General features: G+C 42.5%; 1 protein-coding gene across 23 annotated transcripts in view; it reads right to left on the bottom strand.

Annotated features, from left to right (window-relative positions):
• The window catches only part of YEATS2 (YEATS domain containing 2), a 114,828-nt gene that overhangs the window by 24,200 nt on the left and 69,789 nt on the right, over positions 1-20,839 (bottom strand). For all 23 annotated transcript variants that reach the window (XM_047448527.1, XM_047448528.1, NM_001351370.2 and 20 more), the window contains 5 exons: positions 15,862-16,120; positions 14,631-14,792; positions 12,302-12,510; positions 10,725-10,883; positions 2,124-2,300 (listed from right to left, as the gene is read on the bottom strand). In XM_047448527.1, the coding sequence (XP_047304483.1) occupies positions 2,124-2,300; positions 10,725-10,883; positions 12,302-12,510; positions 14,631-14,792; positions 15,862-16,120 (966 nt within the window). The remainder of the gene's footprint in view (positions 1-2,123; positions 2,301-10,724; positions 10,884-12,301; positions 12,511-14,630; positions 14,793-15,861; positions 16,121-20,839) is intronic.

The raw sequence follows: 20,839 nt of genomic DNA, 5'->3' as shown, positions 1-20,839 counted from the left end.
AGCCAGGCACAGAAAGACACATTTCACACGTTCTCACTCATGTGGGAGCTAACAATTAAAACAACTGAACCCATGAAGACAGAGAGAAGAATGGTGGTTACCAGAAGGTGGGAAGGCCAACAGCAGGGAGGGAGGGAGTGGGGATGGTTAATGGGTACAAAAATATAGTTAGAAGGGATGAGTAAGATCTAGTATTTGATAGCACAACAGGGTGACCAAAATTCACAATAATTTCTTATATATTTTACAGTCACAAAGAATACAATTGGTTTAAAAAAAAGATAAATGCTTAGGGTGACAGATACCCCAATTACCCTGATGCGATTATTACGCATTGTATGCCTGCATCAAAACATCACATGTACCCTGTGAATATCCACATTGATTATGTACCCATAATAATTTATTTATATATATTTTTTGAGATGGAATCTCGCTCTACTGTCCAGGCTGGAGTGGAGTGGCGCAATCTCGGCTCACTGCAAGCTCTGCCTCCTGGGTTCATGCCATTCTCCTGCCTCAGCCTCCTGAGTAGCTGGGACTACAGGCGCCCGTCACCACGCCCCGCTAATTTTTTTTTTTTGTATTTTTAGTAGAGACGGGGGTTTCACCTTGTTAGCCAGGATGGTTTGATCTCCTGACCTCGTGATCCGCCCTTCTCGGCCTCCCAAAGTGCTGGGATTACAGGCATGAGCCACTGCGCCCAGCCTAATTTAAAAAATTTAAAAAGGAATGAAAACCAAAATTTAAAACTTTTGTGGTTCAATACTATCAAGAAAGTGAAAAGACAGCTCAGAGTGCAAGAAAATTTTTGCAAATCTGGTAAGAGACATATCTAGAATATATAAAGTACTCCTACACTTCAACGATTAAAAGACAACCAACTAAAAAATGGGCAAAGGATGTAAATGGATAAAAGATATACAAATAGCCAATAAATACGTGAAAAGATGCTCAATATCATTAACAGGGAATCGCAAATCAAAACCACAATGAGATACTAGTTTACACCCACTACAATAGCTATAATTAAAAAAAAAGGACAAGAACAAGTTTGGGTGAGTTTGTGGAAAAACTGGAACCCTTGTATATCGCTGGTGAGAATCTAAAATAATGTAGCCACTTGGGAAAACAGTTTAGCAGTTCCTCACAAAGTTAAAAGGAGTTATCACAGGCCGGGCGCAGTGGCTCACACCTGTAATCCCAGCACTTTGGGAGATGAGGCAGGTGGATCACGAGGTCAGGAGATTGAGACCATTCTGGCCAACATGGTGAAACCCCATCTCTACTAAAATACAAAAAATTAGCCGGACATGGTGGTGCGTGCCTGTAGTCCCAGCTACTTGGGAGGCTGAGGCAGGGGAATCGCTTGAACCCGGGAGATGGAGGTTCCAGTGAGCCGAGATCTCGTCACTGCACTCCAGCCTGGTGACACAGCAAGACTCCATCTCAAAAAACAACAAAAAAAGTTACCTTATAATCCAGCAATTCCATCACTAGGTATACAGCCAAGAGAAATAAAAACGTGTTTATACAAAAACCTGTACACAAATATTCACTGCAGCATTATTCACAACAGTCAAAAAGTAGAAAATAATCCAAGTGCCCATCAACTGATGAATGGATAAACAAAATATGGTACATCCATCAAACTGAGTATTATCCAGCCATGAAAAGGAGTATTGATGCAAGTCACAACGTGGATGAACTCTGCACTGTAATGCTAAGCATCAGAAGCAGACCCAAAAGGGCATGTTATATGACTCCCTTTATATGAAATGTCTAAAATAGGCAAATCCAAAGAAAGTAGGTCAGCGGTCGCCTAGAACAGAAGGATGGAATGGGAGTGACTGCTGATGGGTATTGGGCTTCTTTCTGGGATGATAAAATGCTCTGGGATTAGATGATGGTAATCACAGTTGCACAACCATGTGAATGACAAGCACTACTGAACTATATACTACAAAATGGGGACTTTTATGGTATGTGAATATTTCTTTAAAAAAAAAAGCAATAGTTGAGTATTTTTAAAAGGTCCACTGGTGTGCCTGCTGGACACCTTCCTTGTATCTACACCACTTTCATGTCTCATTAGGATTCTCTACTGACATGCTATTTCTCACCTGTTGTGCAGGACCGTTTGCTGAGAGGGCCACGGCAGGGGAAGTGGCAGTTGTGATAACCCCTCCTGCTACTCTCAGCATTGTGGTTCCAGGCTTCGAGAGCTGTGAGGTGGCTGGCACAGTCTTCAAGGTGCTATCGGATATTTTCATTAGAGATGCCTGTCCTCCATGGGCTGCCTGCAGAAACAAGATGGGCAGAAATAATCATGTTGCCTTGGATAATAGACATAACTCATTCCTTACTGACAGCTGAGATACGCCCCATGACTTGGAGAATAACCAAGAAAGTCTTACCAATCCAACCTACATGAGGTGTTTACACACCTTTCTAACAAGCTCCAAATTTTATGACCTTTCACCTATAAATATCCCTTTACCCCAATATAGAACAAGTAAATAAATGCATTTGCAAGTTACTATTTGGCAGCAGTATCTTTAAAGGTAACAGGTCACTTGTTTTCAAAATACTTGATTACAACATGCTCTTAAATGTACGTATAATCTTTAAACATGAGAATCAACCCTAGACAGGGCCAGATTTAAATGGGTAAGGTTAATGGTCTTCTAAATTAGATATAGGCTTAGCATTTTAGTACTGGAGAACCATTTACAAATTACATATTTTTTATTTTATTTTATTTTTTTAGAGACAGGGTCTTGCTCTGTCACCTAGGCTGGAGTGTAATGGCACAATCATAGCTCACTGCAGCCTCGAACTCCTGGGCTCAAGTGATCCTCCTGCCCCAGCCTTTCGAGTAGCTGGGATTACAGGCATGTGCCACATCTGGTTGATTTTTTTTTTTTTTTTTTTTTGAGACAGAGTCTCGCTCTGTCGCCCAGGCTGGAGTGCAGTGGCGCAATCTTGGCTTACTGCAACCTCCGCCTCCCGGGTTCAAGTGATTCTCCTGCCTCAGCCTCCCGAGTAGCTAGGACTTACAGGCACGTGCCACCACGCCCAACTAATTTTTGTATTTTTAGTAGAGATGGGGTTTCACCATGTTGGCCAGGATGGTCTCGATCTCTCGTGACCTCGTGATCTGCCCACCTCAGCCTCCCAAAATGCTGGGATTACTGGCGTGAAGCCACCGCACCCGGCCAAACACCTGGTTAATTTAAAACCAGAAAATGTTTTTCAGAGACAGGGTCACCATTATGTTGCCCAGGCTGGATACAAATTATAAATGACAGTCTCAGTAGTCTAAATAAAGGCTCAACAAACTTTTTTTTTTGAGACAGAGTTTTGCTCTTTTGCTCAGACTGGAGTGCAGTGGTGCGATCTTGGCTCACTGCAACCTCTGCCTCCTGGGTTCAAGCGATTCTCCTGCCTCAGCCTCCCGAGTAGCTGCGATTACAGGTATGCGCCACCATGCCTGGCTAATTTTGTACTTTTAGTAGAGACAAGGTTTCTCCATGTTGGCCAGGCTGGTCTCAAACTCCTGACCTCAGGTGATCCGCCCGTCTCAGCCTCCCAAAGTGCTGGAATTACAGGCGTGACCCACCACACCCGGCTTTTTTTTTTTTTTTAATGGCAAGAGTATGCAATTTTGGCTTTCAGGCCGTAGGACCTCTGTTGCAACTCCTCGGCTCTACGATTACAGCGTGAAACGAGTGTGGCTGTGTTCCAATAAAATGTTACTTACAAAAAACAGGAAGCATCAACAACAATTGCAACAAAAAGGAAAACCAAGTGGGACCTAATTAAACTAAAAAGCTTCTGCACAGCAAAAGAAACTATCAACAGAGTAGAGACAACCTACAGAATGGGAGAAAAGATTCATAAACCATACATCCGACAAAGGTCTAATATCCAGAATCTATAAGGAACCTAATTTAACAAGCAAATAAATAAACCTCATTATAAATAAACCCCATTAAAAAGTGGGCAAAAGACATGAACAGACATTTCTCCAAAAGAAGATATACAAGTAGCCAACAAACATGAAAAAATGCTCCGTATCACTAATCACCAGAGAAATGCAAATCAAAACCACAATATCATCTCACACCAGATAGGCTGTGGAAAAAAGGAAAGCCCTATACACTGTGGGTGGGAATGTAAGTTAGGTCAGCCACCGTGGAAGGCAGTTTGGAGATTTCTCAAAGAACAGAAAACAAAGGTTGGGTGCAGTGGCTCATGCCTGTGATCCCAGCACTTTGGGAGGCCACTTCAGCCCAGGAGTTCAAGACCAGCCTGGGCAACCTTGACCCTGTCACTAGAAAAATAAAAAGTTAGCTGGCCATGGTGTCACAGGACTGTAGTCCTAACTACTTGGGAGGTTGGGATGGGAGAACTGCTTGAGCCCAGGAGGTCGAGGGTGCTGCACTCCAGCCTGGGTGACTGTGAGATCCTGTCTCAAAAACAAAACAAAAAACTTAAAACGGAACTACCATCTGACTCAGCAATCTATGTGTATATATCCAAAAGAAAATAAATCATTCTACTAAAAAGACACATGCACCCCTATGTCCATCACTGCACTATTCACAATAGCAAAGACATGGAATCAACCTAGGTACCCTTCAGCAGTGGACTGGATACACCATCAAATACCACACAGCCATGAAAAGGTAAGAAATCATTTCTTTTGAAGCAACACAGATGCAGCTGGAGGCCATTATCCTAAGTGAATGAATGCAGGACAGAAAACCAAAGGCTACATGTTCTCACTTACAAGTGGGAGCTAATCGTTGGGTAAATGGACACAAAGATGGCCACAATAGACACTGAGGACTATGACATGGGGCAGGGAGGGAAGGGTTAAAAAACTAACTATTGGGTATGATGCTCACTCCCTGGGTGACAAGATCAATCATGACCCTAGCCTCAGCATCATGCAATATACCCATGTAACAAACCTGCACATGTACCCCCTGAATCTAAAATAAAAGTTTAAATTATAAAAAACAGCAGCAACAACGCAAACAGGAAGCCTTGGCTGTAGTTTGCTGAAATCTGCTCTAAGTGACTGCTCAGTGTCCCAAATTAATGCACTCCACAAGCAGACACCATTTATTAGTTTCTGAGATCTTACTATGTGCCAGGAAGAACAGAAAGCACTTGTACATATCTTATGTCATCGTAAGTCATTATTTTCACTAACTGTATAGAGTAGGTTTTAGTCCTGTCTTAGAGATGAAGAGATTAATTTACCAGGGTCACACAGCTAGCACTATCTGAAAAAGTTATGACTAGATTCCACAAGTAATAGCCATGGCATAATTTGCATTGGAGCTTTATGCAAATAAAGACCACAATGAGATATGACTTTGCACTCACAACAATGGCTAAAATTAAAAAGAATGACAATCCTCCGTGTTGGTGAGGATGTAGAGCAAATCAGACTTCCTCATATTACTCTGGGATAGTCAAACAGTACAACCATTTTACTAAACCATTTCTCAGTTTCTTATAAACATATATGTACCCTATGATCAGGCTGTTCTGCAGAAAAATATCTGTGTAAGAATATTTATGGCAGTTTTATCCATGACAGCAAAAACAAACAAAAAAACCTGGAAATAATCCAAATGTCCATCAACAGGAAAGTGGAATCATGGAACAAAAATAGAATCACTCTGGCTGGGTGCGGTGGCTCACGCCTGAAATCCCAGCACTTTGGGAAGCCGAGGCAGGCAGATCACCTGAGGTAAGGAGTTCGAGACCAGCCTGGCCCACATGGTGAAACCCTGTCTCTACGAAAAATACAAAAATTAGCTGGGCATGGTGGCAGGCGCCTGTAATCCTAGCTACTCGGGAGGCTGAGGCAGGAGAATCACTTGAACCCAGGAGACAGAGGTCGTAGTGAGCTGAGATCACGCCATTGTACTCCAGCCTGGGGGACACGAGCGAGACGTCATCTCAAAAAATAAAAAAATTAAAAAACTCAAGAATTGGCCAGGCGCGGTGGCTCATGTCCGTAATCCTAGCACTTTGGGAGGCTGAGGCGGGTGGATCACCTGAGGTCAGGAGTTCGAGACCAGCCTGACCAACATAGAGAAACCTCGTCTCTACTAAAAATACAAAATTAGCCAGGCTTGGTGGCGAATGCCTGTAATCCCAGCTACTCGGGAGGCTGAGGCAGGAGAATCGCTTGAACCCGGGAGGCAGAGGTTGCAGTGAGCCAAGATCGCACCACTGCACTCCAGCCTGGGCAACAAGAGCGAAACTCTGTCTCAAAAAAATTAAAAAATTAAAAAATTAACTCAAGAATAAAAAAGAATAAACGATTAACACACATATAGATAAATCTTGGAAACATTACGTTGAATAACAGAAGCCAGACATAAAAGACTACATACTATATAATTCCACTGACATGAAGTTCAAGAAAGACAAAAGCTAATCTATGGTGAAAGAAACAGAAAAATGGTGATAGAAAAAAAAAATTTTTTTTTTTTTAAGACAGGGTGTTGCTCTATCGCCCAGGCTGGAGAGCAGTGGCACCATCATGGCTCACTGTAGCCTCAACTTCAAAGGCTCAAGCCATCCTCCCACCTCAGCCTCCTGAATGGCTGGGACCACAGGCATGTGCCACCATGGCCCAGGTAGTTTCTTTTTTTTTGAGACGGAGTCTTGTTCTGTCGCCAGGCTGGAGATCTACGCTTATGATCTATGCATTATTTTATTATATCTTTAAGGATGTGGGGCTAAAAGGAAAAAGCATTTAAAGCTTTGAATTTTCTTGAGCCTGGTTTGGGTTGTTTCCATAGGTTTTAATATCAAGTACTGTTGTGATGGTTAATTTTATGTCAACTTGAGTGGGCTGAGGGATGCCCAGATACCTGGTAAAATATTTCTGCAAGAGACCAGCATTTGGATTAGCAGACAGAGTAAAGAAGATCCGCCCTCGCCAACGTGGGCAGACATCATCCAATCTGTCAAGGACCTGAATAGAACAAAAAGGCGGACAATGGGCGAATTCTCTCTCTCTTCTTAAGCTGAGACATCAATCTTCTCCTACCCTTAGACATCAGAGCTCCTGGTTCTCAGGCCTTCAGACTCCAGGACTTAATGCCAGTGTGCCCCTCACTCCCATGCCCACCAGTTCGCAGGCCTTTGTAGTCAGACTGAATCACACCACTAGCTTTCCTGATCTCCAGCCTGCTAACAGCATGTCGTGGGACTCCTTGGTCTCCATAATCACAGGAGCCAATTCTCATAATAAATTTCCTCTTAATATCTATATATATTATATTTGTTCTGTTTCTCTGGAGAACCCTAATAAAATTGTCATTTGTATTAACAGCTAAATCATCCGTAATTTATTTGGATTTTTTTAACCCAAGAATTTAGAAGAGTATTTTAATTGTCAAGTTTTTTGGTTGTTATTGATTTGACTTTTTTATTGAGTAACAGAATGAAGCACATTGGATGCTACTTTTGAAATATGCTAAGAGATTCTCTTTGTGGCCAAGTATATAATCAATTTGTTAATGTTCCACAGATATACAAGCAAAATGTGTATTCTGTGTCTCAATGATACAGAATTAAGCCTGTTAGTACTGTTATTCCAATACAAATCCTTTATAATAAAAAAGATTTATCCACTTGATTAGCTAAATGCTGAGAGACATGTTAAAATTCTTCTCTGTGACTGCAGTTTTATCAAATTCTCCTCATATTCCTAATAGTCTTTGCACTTTATGTATTTTGCTGCCAGAGTTCACTGCATAAACATTTGTGCCATTTTATCTTCATTGTGGACAGCAATACTCCTCTCAGCGCCAAATCCAAAAAAACCAGAAAAGGCATAAATAAATAAATGCATTCTACTGGTTGTGTTCAAAAACTAGTTGAGGAGCCCAATAGTGGACAAGCAACTACGAAAAACAGACAAAAGGCTGCAGAAGAAAGCCTCGCCAAGTGATAAAAGCCTTACGTGGGACACGCCAGGAGAATCTGCCACAGAAGCGTGGAAAAACGCTAGATAAGCTCCACATCTGGAGATAGCAGAAGCTTGAGGCAACCAGAAGGGTGATGTGTTGGGTACTGTGGCAAGAGCAGCCAGTTCTATTCAGTTTCCAGTGTTCTCCATGCCCTGCGCCCCCGCTTCCTCCTTCCTGTGGTGCTTGCTGTGTTGGTGTGAGATATATCCACATATGTAGTTGGAAAAGGGAAGAGTATTTTAACAGCTCTTTCAAATACTGTTGTTACTCTTCTCTGATGCTACACTAAAGCTCAACAAGTGGAAGTTTCTTCAAGTTTAGTTGTATTATGCAATCTGAAACCACAGCAATTTAAAGTTTTCTCTGTTAGATCTTGAGTCAGAAAGATAAAAAATTAAAAAAAAAAAAAAAAAAAGTAAAGGCCAGGTGCGGTGGCTCACGCCTGTAATCTCAGTTCATTGGGAGGCCGAGGCGGGCAGATCACGAGGTCAAGAGATCGAGACCATCCTGACCAACGTGGTGAAACCCCGTCTCTAGTAAAAATACAAAAATTAGCTGGACATGGTGGCGGGCACCTGTAATCCCAGCTACTCGGGAGGCTGAGGCAGGAGAATTGCTTGAACCCAGGAGGCGGAGGCTGCAGTGAGCCGAGATCGTGCCACTGCACTCCAGCCTGGCGACAGAGCAAGGCTGTGTCTCAAAAAAATATATAAAAAATAAATAAATAAATAAAAATAAAGTTTTCTCTGTCAAGTTAAAATCCGTTGGTCAGGGACTTTTGCTTCCACATAGGAAACAGAGGGCTATAAAGCACGGTTGCTCCTACCCTAACAAGAAAAGGCTGAATACACTACAAAATCTTATTTTTTTGAAACATATTGGAGGGCTGAAATCTCAAAGTAGCCAAGTAACCTGAAGATTAAAGATAGCCAGTCCCTGCAAGGAGGGAGGGGCAACAGGAACTGTCTCACCTGTGCACTGCTGCAACACAAGCAGGTGTGAAATCTAAGGAAGATTTAAAAGAACTGTCTACAGTGAACTGCAGGGCCTTGTATCTGTTTAACATGGGTAAGGACATTCGACAAAAAAGAACAAAAGAGGACACCAAATGCTGGTAATTTGAAAAGATCAATACAACTGATAAACCTCTAGCTAGACTGATCAATAAAAAGAGGACACATAATTACCAAAAGCAAGAATGAAAACGGGCTGGGCGTGGTGGCTTGTGCCTGTAATCCCAGAACTTTCGGAGGCCGAGGCGGGCAGACCACGAGGTCAGGAGTTCGAGACCAGCCTGACCAACATGGTGAAACCCTGTCTCTATTAAAAATACAAAAATTAGCTGGGCGTGGTGGTGGACTCCTGTAATCGCAGCTACTCGTGAGGATGAGGCAGGCGAACTGCTTGAACCCAGGAGCCTGGGCAACAGATAAAGACTCTGTCTCAAAAAATATATATAAAAAGAAAAGAAATAAACAACCTGAACAGTCCCGTATCTAGTAAATAAACTGAAACTGTAGTTTAAAACAGTAATATAAAAACCTTCTCAATTAGGAAAACTCCAGGCTAATATGGCTTTTACAGGTATATTCAATTAAACAGTTAAGAAACAGTACCAATTCTATATAAACTCTTCCAATAAAGAGAAAAGAAAGGAAAAGCTTCCACTTCATTTTATGAGGCCAGTATTATCCTGATACCAAACCAGACAGAAATTACTAAGAAAACTACTGACCAGTATCACTTGCAAAAACTCTAAACAAGGCCAGGAGCGGATCACGCCTGTAATCCCAGCACTTTCGGAGGCCGAGGCGGGCAGATCACCTGAGGTCACGAGCTGGAGACCAGCCTGACCAACATGGAGAAACCCCATCTCTACTAAAAACACAAAATTAGCTGGGCATGGTGGTGCATGCCTGTAATCCCAGCTACTCACTCACTGTCTGGATACTATAGCTGAAACTGGCCCATTCTGGATCTTCCACGTGAAGCCCCTCTGGAGAAATTTTACAACAAAGTGTCAAGAAAGCTTTGTTTCTTCTAAAGAAATATGCGTTTTTTTCTTTCTCACAAATAGTGTGACTTTAAAACTGACCATGCTTCTCATTTTGTCTTTGCTATCACATTTATACCTTGATTTTTTTAACTGTGCAAGATATCTTAAGTGTTTGCATATGAGAATAACACCTGGGTCCTTAATTTTCTCATTCTACTTATATTTTCCCAAACCTCAAGATTCATTTTTGTTTTTCTATATTTTTTATTGTTCATTTTTTCTTTTTTTTTCTTTTTTTTTTTTTTTTTGAGACAGAATCTTGCTCTGTCGCCCAGGATGGAGTGCAATGGCACGATCTCGGCTCACTGCAACCTCCGCCTCCCGGGTCCAAGCGATTCTCCTGCCTTAGCCTCCCGAGTAGCTGGGACTATAGGCACGCACCACTGCACCTGGCTAATTTTTGTATTTTTAGTAGAGACGGGGTTTCACTATGTTGGCCATGTTGGCCAGGCTGGTCTCCAACTCCTGACCTCAGGCAATCCACCCACCTTGGCTTCCCAAAGTGCTGGGATTACAGACGTGAGCGACCACTCCTGGCCTTATTGTTCATTTTCTTATGTAACCTTAATTTCTTTGTGAAAAGAGAGAAACTACATGTAAATATGTAAATAAATGCCATAATCACCCCATATTTGGGGTGTGTGCATGGGCGTATTTACCTGTGTAAACAATGTGGTTTTCTGTCCAGAGATGACTTTTAGCGTTTGTTGTCCTTGTGCAGAAGATGTGCTGACTCCCAGTGTTCCTTGGACCACTGACCCAGTGGTGAGTTGTTTTCCAGAAGTCTGGGGTGATGGCTGGCCAACTAAAAATGTGCCCTAAGTTAGAAAAAAATATAAAGAACTAATCGGTAATTTGTTAAATTCAGATGGGCTGTTCTGATCCCTTAAATCACATGTAACGTCCCATGTTACAAGCTACAACGCTCTCCCCTTTAATTCTGCAATGTAGGCAAAATAATTCAAAAGAATAGTTGTGCTCTAAGTGTTACTTCCATTAGTTATCCCCACTTCTCAAACTTTGCACTGTAGTTACAGAGCAGCCTGTTGAAAACTCATGTTTTGCAACTTAGTCCTCAAAACTGGATTTAATCATTCAGACTGATATCATCTTTCTCAATAAGAACATCTGGAACCAAAATTCTATTACTTTCCTTCAAAAAGAGCCAAGACTTCAGTGACAAGAGGAGACGAGGAGGAAACCTGTTCCTAATCAAATCTAACTTAACTCTAAATATTACAACTTGATACCATCTCTTTGATCACTCCCTTCTATGAGCAACTTTTCAACTGTACATTAATACTGTTTATTACCTCATGGATTTTGGAGGCAATTAGCATAGTAGAAATCTTTAAGGCAGGAAGATCTGGGTTTAAACCCAAATTCTTTTCCTTTTTTTTTTTTTTTGAGACAGAGTCTCACCCTTTTCCCCCAGGCTGGAGTACCATGGAGTGATCTTGGCTCACTGCAACCTCTGCCTCCCGGGTTCAAGTGATTCTCCTGCCTCAGCCTTCCAAGTAGCTGGGATTACAGGCATGCACCACCACACCCGACTGATTTTTGTATTTTTAATAGAGACAGGGTTTCACCATGGACCAGGCTGGTCTTGAACTCCTGACCTCAGGTGATCTGCCTGCCTCGGCCTCCCAGAATGCTGGGATTACAGGCGTGAGCCACCGTGCCTGGCTTAAACCCAAATTCTACCATTGGCTTGGCAGGAAGATCCTGGATAAGTTACTAAAATCTTTCTCAATCTCTACTTCCTCTTCTCTCAAAGCAAGCAAAAAAGATAAAAACACATAGTTTTTTTTTGAGAAAGGGTCTCACTCTGTCACCCAGCCAGGGTGGAGTGCAGTGGTGCGACCTCAGCTCACTGCAGCCTCAACCTCCCAGGTTCAAGCAATCCTCCCACCTCAACCTTCGGAGTAGCTGGGACTGTAGACGTGCACCACCACGCCCAGCTAATTTTGGTATTTTTAGTAGAGACAGGGTTTTGCCATGTTGCCCAGGTTGGTCTCGAACTCCTGGGCTCAAGCGATCCACCCACCTTGGCCTCCCAAAGTGCTAGGATTACAGGCATGAGTTACCACACCCGGCCAAGATATAGATATAGATAACACGGTTAAGGTGTTAGTATTGAACCCTGATCCCAGAGCCGTAAAGGTAAATCAATTATAATTAAGCATAGTTATCCAATAGCTAAATGATTTAAAATATCAGTTACAGAGAACCAGACCTGGGGAGTTTGCTTGAGGATGTAAGATGTGTAAGTCAGGTGCTGAGATATCCCTCCAGGGCCAGCAGTACTTTGAGTTCCTCCTCCTGCTGTTCCTCCTCCTCCTCCTGTGCTGCCGCCTCCACCGCTGCCACTGCCGCCTCCTCCTCCTCCTCCTCCTCCTCCTCCGGCACCACTCCCACCACTGGCAGCTGAGCCAGACTGGAGATCTAAAAATACAATGAATGACAGCAACATCATAAAAAGTATCAAGCAAAGCTTTAGCATAAAAAACAAATGAGCCCAGAGAGATGTTTCCCTTTTAGTGCCATTCCTTCTTCTTTCCCATTTTCCTCCGTCTTTTCTGTAATCTACCTACCCTGTGACAAGAGTGAGGAGAACTTCCTAGATTTTAGATCAAAATCTATTTCCTTTCAACTGCATGACAACTGACTGTATTTCGGCTCTGAGTACAATGAAGATACTTTGACGTGGTCGTGGGAGATCAAGAGAAGGCTTGCTACTGACATTTTCTAGCCAAGTATTTTTTTGAGACGGAGTCTCACTCTGTCGCCAGGCTGGAGTGCAATGGCAAGATCTTGGCTCACTGCAACCTCTGCCTCCCGGGTTCAAGCGATTCTCCTGCCTCAGCCTCCCAAGGAGCTGGGACTACAGGCGTGTGCCACCATGCCCAGCTAATTTTGTATTTTTAGTAGAGAGGGGGTTTCACCATGTTGGACAGGATGGTCTCGATCTCCTGACCTCATGATCCGCCCGCCTTGGCCCTCCAAAGTGCTGGGATTGCAGGTGTGAGCCACTGCACCCAGCCTCTAGCCAAGTATTTTAATCAACACTTAAATGTGCTCAGCTAGGTGCTTCCCAACTTTTGGGCATCTGATTCAATGTCAGGGAATTGCTGGAATTTAGTGTAACTTTACAGTGCTCGATGTTGTCTCCCTGTCTCAGGAAAAATGAAGACTTTCCTTCATTTACAATGACTCCAGGACCCCATTCTTCTTTGCCTTTCAAATCCCACTTCAAAGCCTTGAAGTCTTTTTACTTCTCTTTTGGTGAGATAATGCATTTGAACTACCTGGACTATGAATATTCACTCAACAAATACTAACTTCCAATTTCCTTCTCCACCTTCATTCCAGTGATTATTGGAATAGCTTCCTTCCCAATGGTTTATTTTTGCACCAAGGATATCACAAGAATCTAAGTAGCTCCCTGGATGACTTCTGAAATATTTACATTGTCCTTTTCTTACACATTTAACTTTTGGACATACCACTGCTTAGGTATGAGGAAAAAACACCAAGTGAGAGTGGAACTGACACATCATGGTCAATGAACGCAAGGATGATGAGCTGACACACTGCATTTTGGCAAGGGCGGTTAACTTCCAATGACCCTGAATGCTGTACCCTTCTACTTCTGATTCAGAGGGAAATAATTTCCTTTTATCCTATCCTTTTCAACACTGCCCAAACGGTTTTTCTCTATATGTCAAAGCAAAAGTTTCTTTAACTGCAGATAAACTGCCTCATTTCCATGGGGCTTTAAGACTTACAAACCTAGGTAGAGTCTGTATTTCTCTTTCCATCTCCAAACCTAGCAGAAGTAAGGAATACATCCAAACCAGCTGTCCCCAAGCTTTGTGGCACCAGGGACCAGTTTCATGGAAGACAACTTTTCCATGAATTGGGACAGGAGGCGGGGGGTGGTTTGGGGAAGAAATTGTTCCACCTCAGATCATCAGGCATTAGATTCTCATAAGGAGCACACAACCTAGATCCCTCGCATGCACAGTTCTCAACAGGGTTCGCGCTCCTGTGAGAATCTGATGCCACTGCTGATCTGACAGGAGGCGGAGCTCAGGCAGTAATGCTTCTTCGTCCATGCTCAACTTCTGCTGTGCGGCCCAGGGGTTGGGGACCCCTGATCTAAATGAAGTCAAACAGACACACTCGATTCCAATCCTATGCCAACCTATCCCCAAAAACAGACTTCCAGCTTCTATAAGTAGATGGATCTTCCCTCAGGTATCACCAGATAATTTTCAGACACCACTTCATTCATGGTTCATGTAGACAGCTTTCTCCCAACAGCCTCACCAGCCATCTCTCTCCAGAGTGATTCATCTCTGATTGCAAACGCTGAGGAGCAAACCCACTTCTAGTTAAATTATCGTATGTGTTAAATCCATCTGAGCAAATGCTACCATTACACCACCCAACAGAGTTACAGAAATGCTTCCTGAAACAGGTAAGAACTGCCCTCAGATGGACAAGATGAACACACATAGAGAACCAAGAACCAAATGATTCAACCCAATGGTTTCACTAACTAGCATTGTTCGTAGCTCGCAGGATGGCTCCTTGAGGGATCAGCAGCAGTTTTCCTTTTCCTGAAGGGTTCTTGCTGTTTGTAGTTAGGTAGAGTTTAGTGCCAGGAGGCAAATTTGCCAAGTTGGCCAAATTAGTGGCTGGTAGCTGCAACGTTGCCATTACTAAAATGGTAAAGGAGAAAAAATTGTAAGATAAATTGAAACTAAGGGCAACACTCTAAAATTAAAATACAAGGCAATAAATTCTTATTTTAGAACACTAACAAGCAATAAATTCAAAGTTTGTTTCCCAGATGCACAATGCTTTAAAGACTGATATTCTTAAATATCTTGCTAATTAAAAAATAATTTATAGACCAGAAGAGCCTGCCAGAGGCTCTTTATATCTGTATATAATAGGATGATCGTACGTCCTGGTTCTGCCCAGAACAGTTCTAGGTTACACCTGTCCCACTATAATTATTAATAATGACTCTTTTTACTCTCCAAAGTACTGTGGTTTGGACGATTAATGAAATAATCACCCTGTCTATGGAGGATTACATATTTTCCCCCATTTGTTTAAAGTCAAAGTTAGGGCAAATGTGTGCTCCTAACTGGCAAGTACCATTGGCCCTCTGTATCTGTGGATTTCACATCCATGGATGTAACCTACCTCAGATAAAAAATATCCATATATTTGGCAGACAAAAGGATGAGTACATCTGTACTGAACATGTACAGACTTTTTTCTTGTCATTATTCCTTAAACAACACAGTGTAACAACTATTTACATAGCATATACATTGTTATTACATTGTTATTTACATTGTTATTAGGTATTAAGATAACCTAGAGATGATATAAAGTAAAGTACATCAGAGGATGTACATAGGTTATACGTAAACAGTACAGCATTTTACACAGGGGACTGTGGATTAGCATCTGTGGATTTTGCTATCTGCAGCAGGGGGTCCTGGAACCAATCCCCCACAGTACTGAGAAATGATTTGTTCGTGTGTGTGTGTGTATGTGGGTGTGTGTGTGTGTGTGTGTAAATTTAAAGCTAAATACTCACAGACCTTTATGTAAAATGTCCCATAAAAAAGAACAAACATTTCAATACACTTCTTACAGCATCAACCTAACTAGGCTTTCCTAGACCAGATCAAATAGCAAATAAAATCACTAGCAAAGGAAATTTTGGACAGAGCTTCTGCTGAAAGGGCTCCCAGTGATGATCCGTTTTACCTGAACCCTGGGATCCACTCTTCTGAGGACCAGCGGCAGTAACCTGGGCCTTGGTTAAGGTCTGCACTGGCTGAGCAACAATGGTTCCTCCACCTCCACTCACAATTGCTTTGGCAACTCCTTGGGTTACAACTTGCTTTGGCCCAACTGCTTTGGAGACAGAAGAGCTGGCCTTGGCTACCAGGATCTGGCCACCACTGATCGCCACAGCCTGCTTCACTGTTGAAGGTAAAGCAGACCCAACTGGTACCCCGACAACCTGTTCAAAACAGAGCAGAGTCCAACGGTGCTTCGAGAGCTCTTAGAACAGCAGTCACCGTTTTGGCAGAGAGCAAAACAAAGGCCTGCACATAATACATGCAGCCTAATTCAGTCATCTAGGAAAGCTACCTACACAGGTGTGAACGGCAACTGTATTTCTTACACTTGGGTATTACAATAATAGAAGCTTAACAATTGTTGTCTTGCCTCAGCTACTTTTTATAATTTACTTTAATAGAAAATTTGGGAAATTCAGAAGTATAAAGAAAAAAGTTTGGCCGGGCGTGGTGGCTCATGCCTGTAATCCCAGCACTTTGGGAGGCCAAGGCAGGAGGAGCATTTGTGGTCAGGAGTTCGAGACCAGCCTGGCCAACATGGTGAAATCCAATCTCTACTAAAAATACAAAAATTAGCTGGGCATGGTGGCACACACCTGTAGTCCCAGCTACTCTGGAGGCTGAGGTAGGAGAATCCCCTGAACCTAGGATGTGGAGGTTGCAGTGAGCCAAGATCATGCCACTGCACTCCAGCCTGGGTGACAGAGTGAGACTCTGTCTAAAAAAAAAAAAAAAAAAAAAAAAAAATTAGCCAGTACAGTGGCACACATCTGTAGTCCCAGCTATTCAGGAGGCTGAGGCAGGGGAGGATCCCTTGAGCCTAGGAGTTCAAGGCTGCACTGAGCCGTGATCACACCACTGCCCTCCAGCCTGGGTGACAGAGCAAGACCCTAAGAAAAGAAAAAAAAAAAAAAAAAAAAAAGGCAAGAATAATATTTAACTATTAAAAAAAAAAAAGACCCCAGTACCCAAATAATGAAAATTAGAAGTATCTAGTTCCAAAAGTAAAATGAATTCTTTTAAGAAAATACTCAGGAGTGTTTTTAAAACAAAGTCAACAGTAGGATGTTAAATTAAACACTGAATGAATGGCAAACTGGAGCAGTGTTTCCCACTCCCAGCACCTTATTTCATAAAAAGAACTTCTCACCAGAAACTAGATGAACAGACTTCCACAAGGTTGGAAGAAATGCAAATGATCTACCTTCTTAAGGCAAAAAAGACAAAATAGGAAGTGCTGTTCACCCATCAGATTGGGGGAAAAAGAGTTTAAAACCAAGAAGTTACTAGAGGCTGTGGGGAAAATAGGAATTTGTGCTCACTGTTGGTAGGAAGATAAATTTGGACAGCCATTCCAGAGAGGCACTGGCCCATCTGCTAAAACTGAAAATTCACATACCCCCGTATAGTAGGAATTGTTTTTAGGAATATATCCTAGAGAAACATACATGCGTTCAAGGGAACATATACAACAATGCCCAACATAGCATTATTTTTACCAAAAACTGTTAGCAACCTTAATGTCTGCAGCATGCAACAACATTCTTAACGTCTACAGATAGAGGAATGGACAAACTGTGGCATAAAACAGACAACGAAAGGTCATACTAAAAATAAATGAACTAGAATTATATATATTAGTGATATATTAGTGTAAACAGACTGGAAAAATAAGAAAGCGAAAAGGGAGTTGCAGAAAAATGTAAGTAGGAATATCTTTTACGTAAACCTTCAAAACACAAACAACATCACGTTTCCTATGACTATGTATTCATGTAATAAGCGCATGGAGTGGAAGGCTACACATCAAAGCCATGACAGTGCTTGTTGCCTCTGGGAAGAACAAAGTGGACTTCAACTTTATCAGAAATGTTTTATTTGGAGAAAAAAGATCTGAAGTAAACATGAATAAGTAAATTTGGGGTGGAGGATATGGGGGTATTGATTACTTAATTCTCTACATATGTTACTGGAATTTTAGAGTATTTCTAAATTTTAAAATAAGATTATTTAGAAGGTAGAATGAAATGATAAAGCATATTCAACTGATAAGTAGGAAATTTTTGTTTTTTTGTTTTTTGTTTTTTTTTGAGACGGAGTCTCGCTCTGTCACCCAGGAAGTGGCGCAATCTCGGCTCACTGCAACCTCCGCCTCACGGGTTCATGCCATTCTCCTGCCTCAGTCTCCCGAGTAGCTGGGACTACAGGCGCCACCACGCCCAGCTAATTTTTTGTATTTTTAGTAGAAACGGGGTTTCACCGTGTTAGCCAGGACGGTCTTGATCTCCTGACCTCGTGATCCGCCCGCCTCGGCCTCCCAAAGTGCTGGGATTACAGGTGTGAGCCACCGCACCCGGCCAGAAGTTTTAAATTAAAATATTACTATACCATACACGGTTTCTGTTCAAAGACTGTGAGTTCAGTAAAATACATTTACCATGCAGTTGGATAATATAGCTGATATAAAGAAAACAGTCCCTTGGCTGGGTATGGTGGCTCGCGCCTGTAATCCCAGCACTTTAGGAGGCTGAGGCGGGCGGATCACAAGGTCAAGAGATTGAGACTGTCCTGGCCAACATGGTGAAACCTCATCTCTACTAAAATTACAAGGAATGAGCTGGGCGTGGTGGTGGGCACCCCAGCTACTCGGGAGGCTGAGGCAGCAGAATCGCTTGAACCTGGGAGTCGGAGGTTGCAGTGAGCTGAGATCGTGCCACTGCACTCTAGCCTGGCGACAGAGCAAGACTCTGTCTAAACAATAAATAAATAAAATGAAAACAGTCCCTTAATCAAATATTATAAACTATAGCGTCACAAAGAGGAAACAGTGCAGGTTTCGGTAAGCAGACAGATCTGGTTTTCCAGGTTAGTTATTTTTAGTTAGTAGCTAGGTAAGTTATTTAACCTCTCTTGAGTTTTACCATCAATCCCCTCATCTATAAAATATGGGTAACATTTACCCTCCGAATCATGAAGCAAAATGAGAAAAAGTATATAGGATGCCTAGCTAACATGACAGCTGTTGCTGCTCATCACAACACTTCAACTGAAGAATAATAATCCACAAGGGGATGTGGAGACCAGCAAAGGACAGCCAAAGGACAGACATTTGTGGCTGTCTTCCGCATTCGGCCAAGGCAGAGACCTTGATCTTAACCTCTGGATTCAGCAGGTGAAACAAATTAATCTTGAGTGAATTATACAACATGGGGATCCGCCTGCTACTTTAAAATATTCCAGGGAGATAAATTAAGATGAGTAAAATGCTGGTAATTGTTAAAACTGGGTAATAGGCATGTGGGATTCATCACACTCTTCTCCCTACTTTTCTGTATGTTTAAGGAGAGAAGAAAAGAAGAAACAGAATAAAAGAACCAATTTTAAAAAGCAAGTTAACCTAGAATGAAGACAAGAAATCACCCCCGGCTCTCCTGGTTTGGTTGAAATACCCCTTATTACCCACATCTACATCTCTGTTTTGTTGTTGTTTTTTGAGACGGAGTTTTGCTCTTGTTGCCCAGGCTGGAGTGCGGTGGCACGATCTCAGCTCACCGCAACCTCCGCCTCCTGGGTTCAAGCAATTCTCCTGCCTTTGCCTCCTGAGTAGCTGGGATTATGGGCACACGCCACCACACCTGGCTAATTTTGTATTTTTAGTAGAGACGGGGTTTCTCCATGCTGGTCAGGCTGATCTTGAACTCCCGACCTCAGGCGATCTACCTGTCTCGGCCTCCCAAAGTGCTGAGATTACAGGCACCTGGCCTTCATCTGTGTTCTAACTGCATGAACTTCATTCTGCAGGGGACCTGTAGAGTTTCTGTAGCCACAGAGCAGGGCAGGGTCATCCTCCCAGTGATGTGGAAATACGGAAACCCTTCTTACTGATCAAGAACTTTTCTGTATATTTATGAAAGAAAAAAAAAACCCTTCTTAATGTAGCAAAACTTTTTGGGAGTGTGGCAGAAACTGCTAGTTGAACCCCAATATCTATTATTTCCTTCTCCTCTCATAGTAACAGAGCCCCCAGTTTTCAGCTGGGGCAATGGCCACATGGAATCACAACTCTATTTCCCAGCCCTCCCAGACCTAGGCGTGGCCATTTGCTTTCTGGCTAACGGGATGTGTGCAGAAGTGAGAGCGACTTTCGGGCTCTGTCTGCCCTCAGCTCTCCCTCCCCCTGCTCCCTTCCTCTTGGCAAGAAGCGTGAACGTGGAGGTATGAGATGAAGTGTTTTCTTAGTCCACAAGCCGAAAGCCAAATTTTGAGAATGTCAGAGCAAAAAAAGGAAAGCCAGGGATCTAGATTCTCGATGACTGTATGAGAAATAAACTTACTTAAAGTTCTGGTGTTCAGATTTCTCTGTTGCAGTAGTTGAACTTTTCTCTTAACTAAGATAGCAGTCTTCAAACCTCCCAAACATATCAAATAACCTATTTCACAAGTTAAATTACACAGAATCTACTTTTATGTTCCTAAACAAAGAAAGCAAATAACTTAGGGAAAACAATACACACATTTTTAGACCTACTTCAATTTCTTTCCCCACATTACATGCACCTGACTTGCTTTTCCTTTCTTGTGCCAAGTGCTTCAGAGTTTTCAGGATATGACACGTAATTTCTCCAAGAACCCAGTAAAACCTGGTATCCTGCCGGGCGTGGTGGCTCATGCCTGTAATCCCAGCACTTTGGGAGGCCGAGGTGGGCGGATCATTAGAGGTCAGGAGTTTGAGACCAGCGTGATGAACATGGTAAAACCCCGTCTCTATTAAAAAATAAAAAAAATGGCCGGGCACAATGGCTCACACCTGTAATCCTAGCACTTCAGGAGGCCAAGGCGGGCAGATCACAAGGTCAGAAGTTTGAGACCAGTGTGGCCAA

The sequence above is a fragment of the Homo sapiens genome, chromosome 3, assembly GCF_000001405.40.
Source record: "Homo sapiens chromosome 3, GRCh38.p14 Primary Assembly".
NCBI lineage: Eukaryota > Metazoa > Chordata > Mammalia > Primates > Hominidae > Homo > Homo sapiens.
This window is presented reverse-complemented; position numbering and strand designations above follow the sequence as displayed.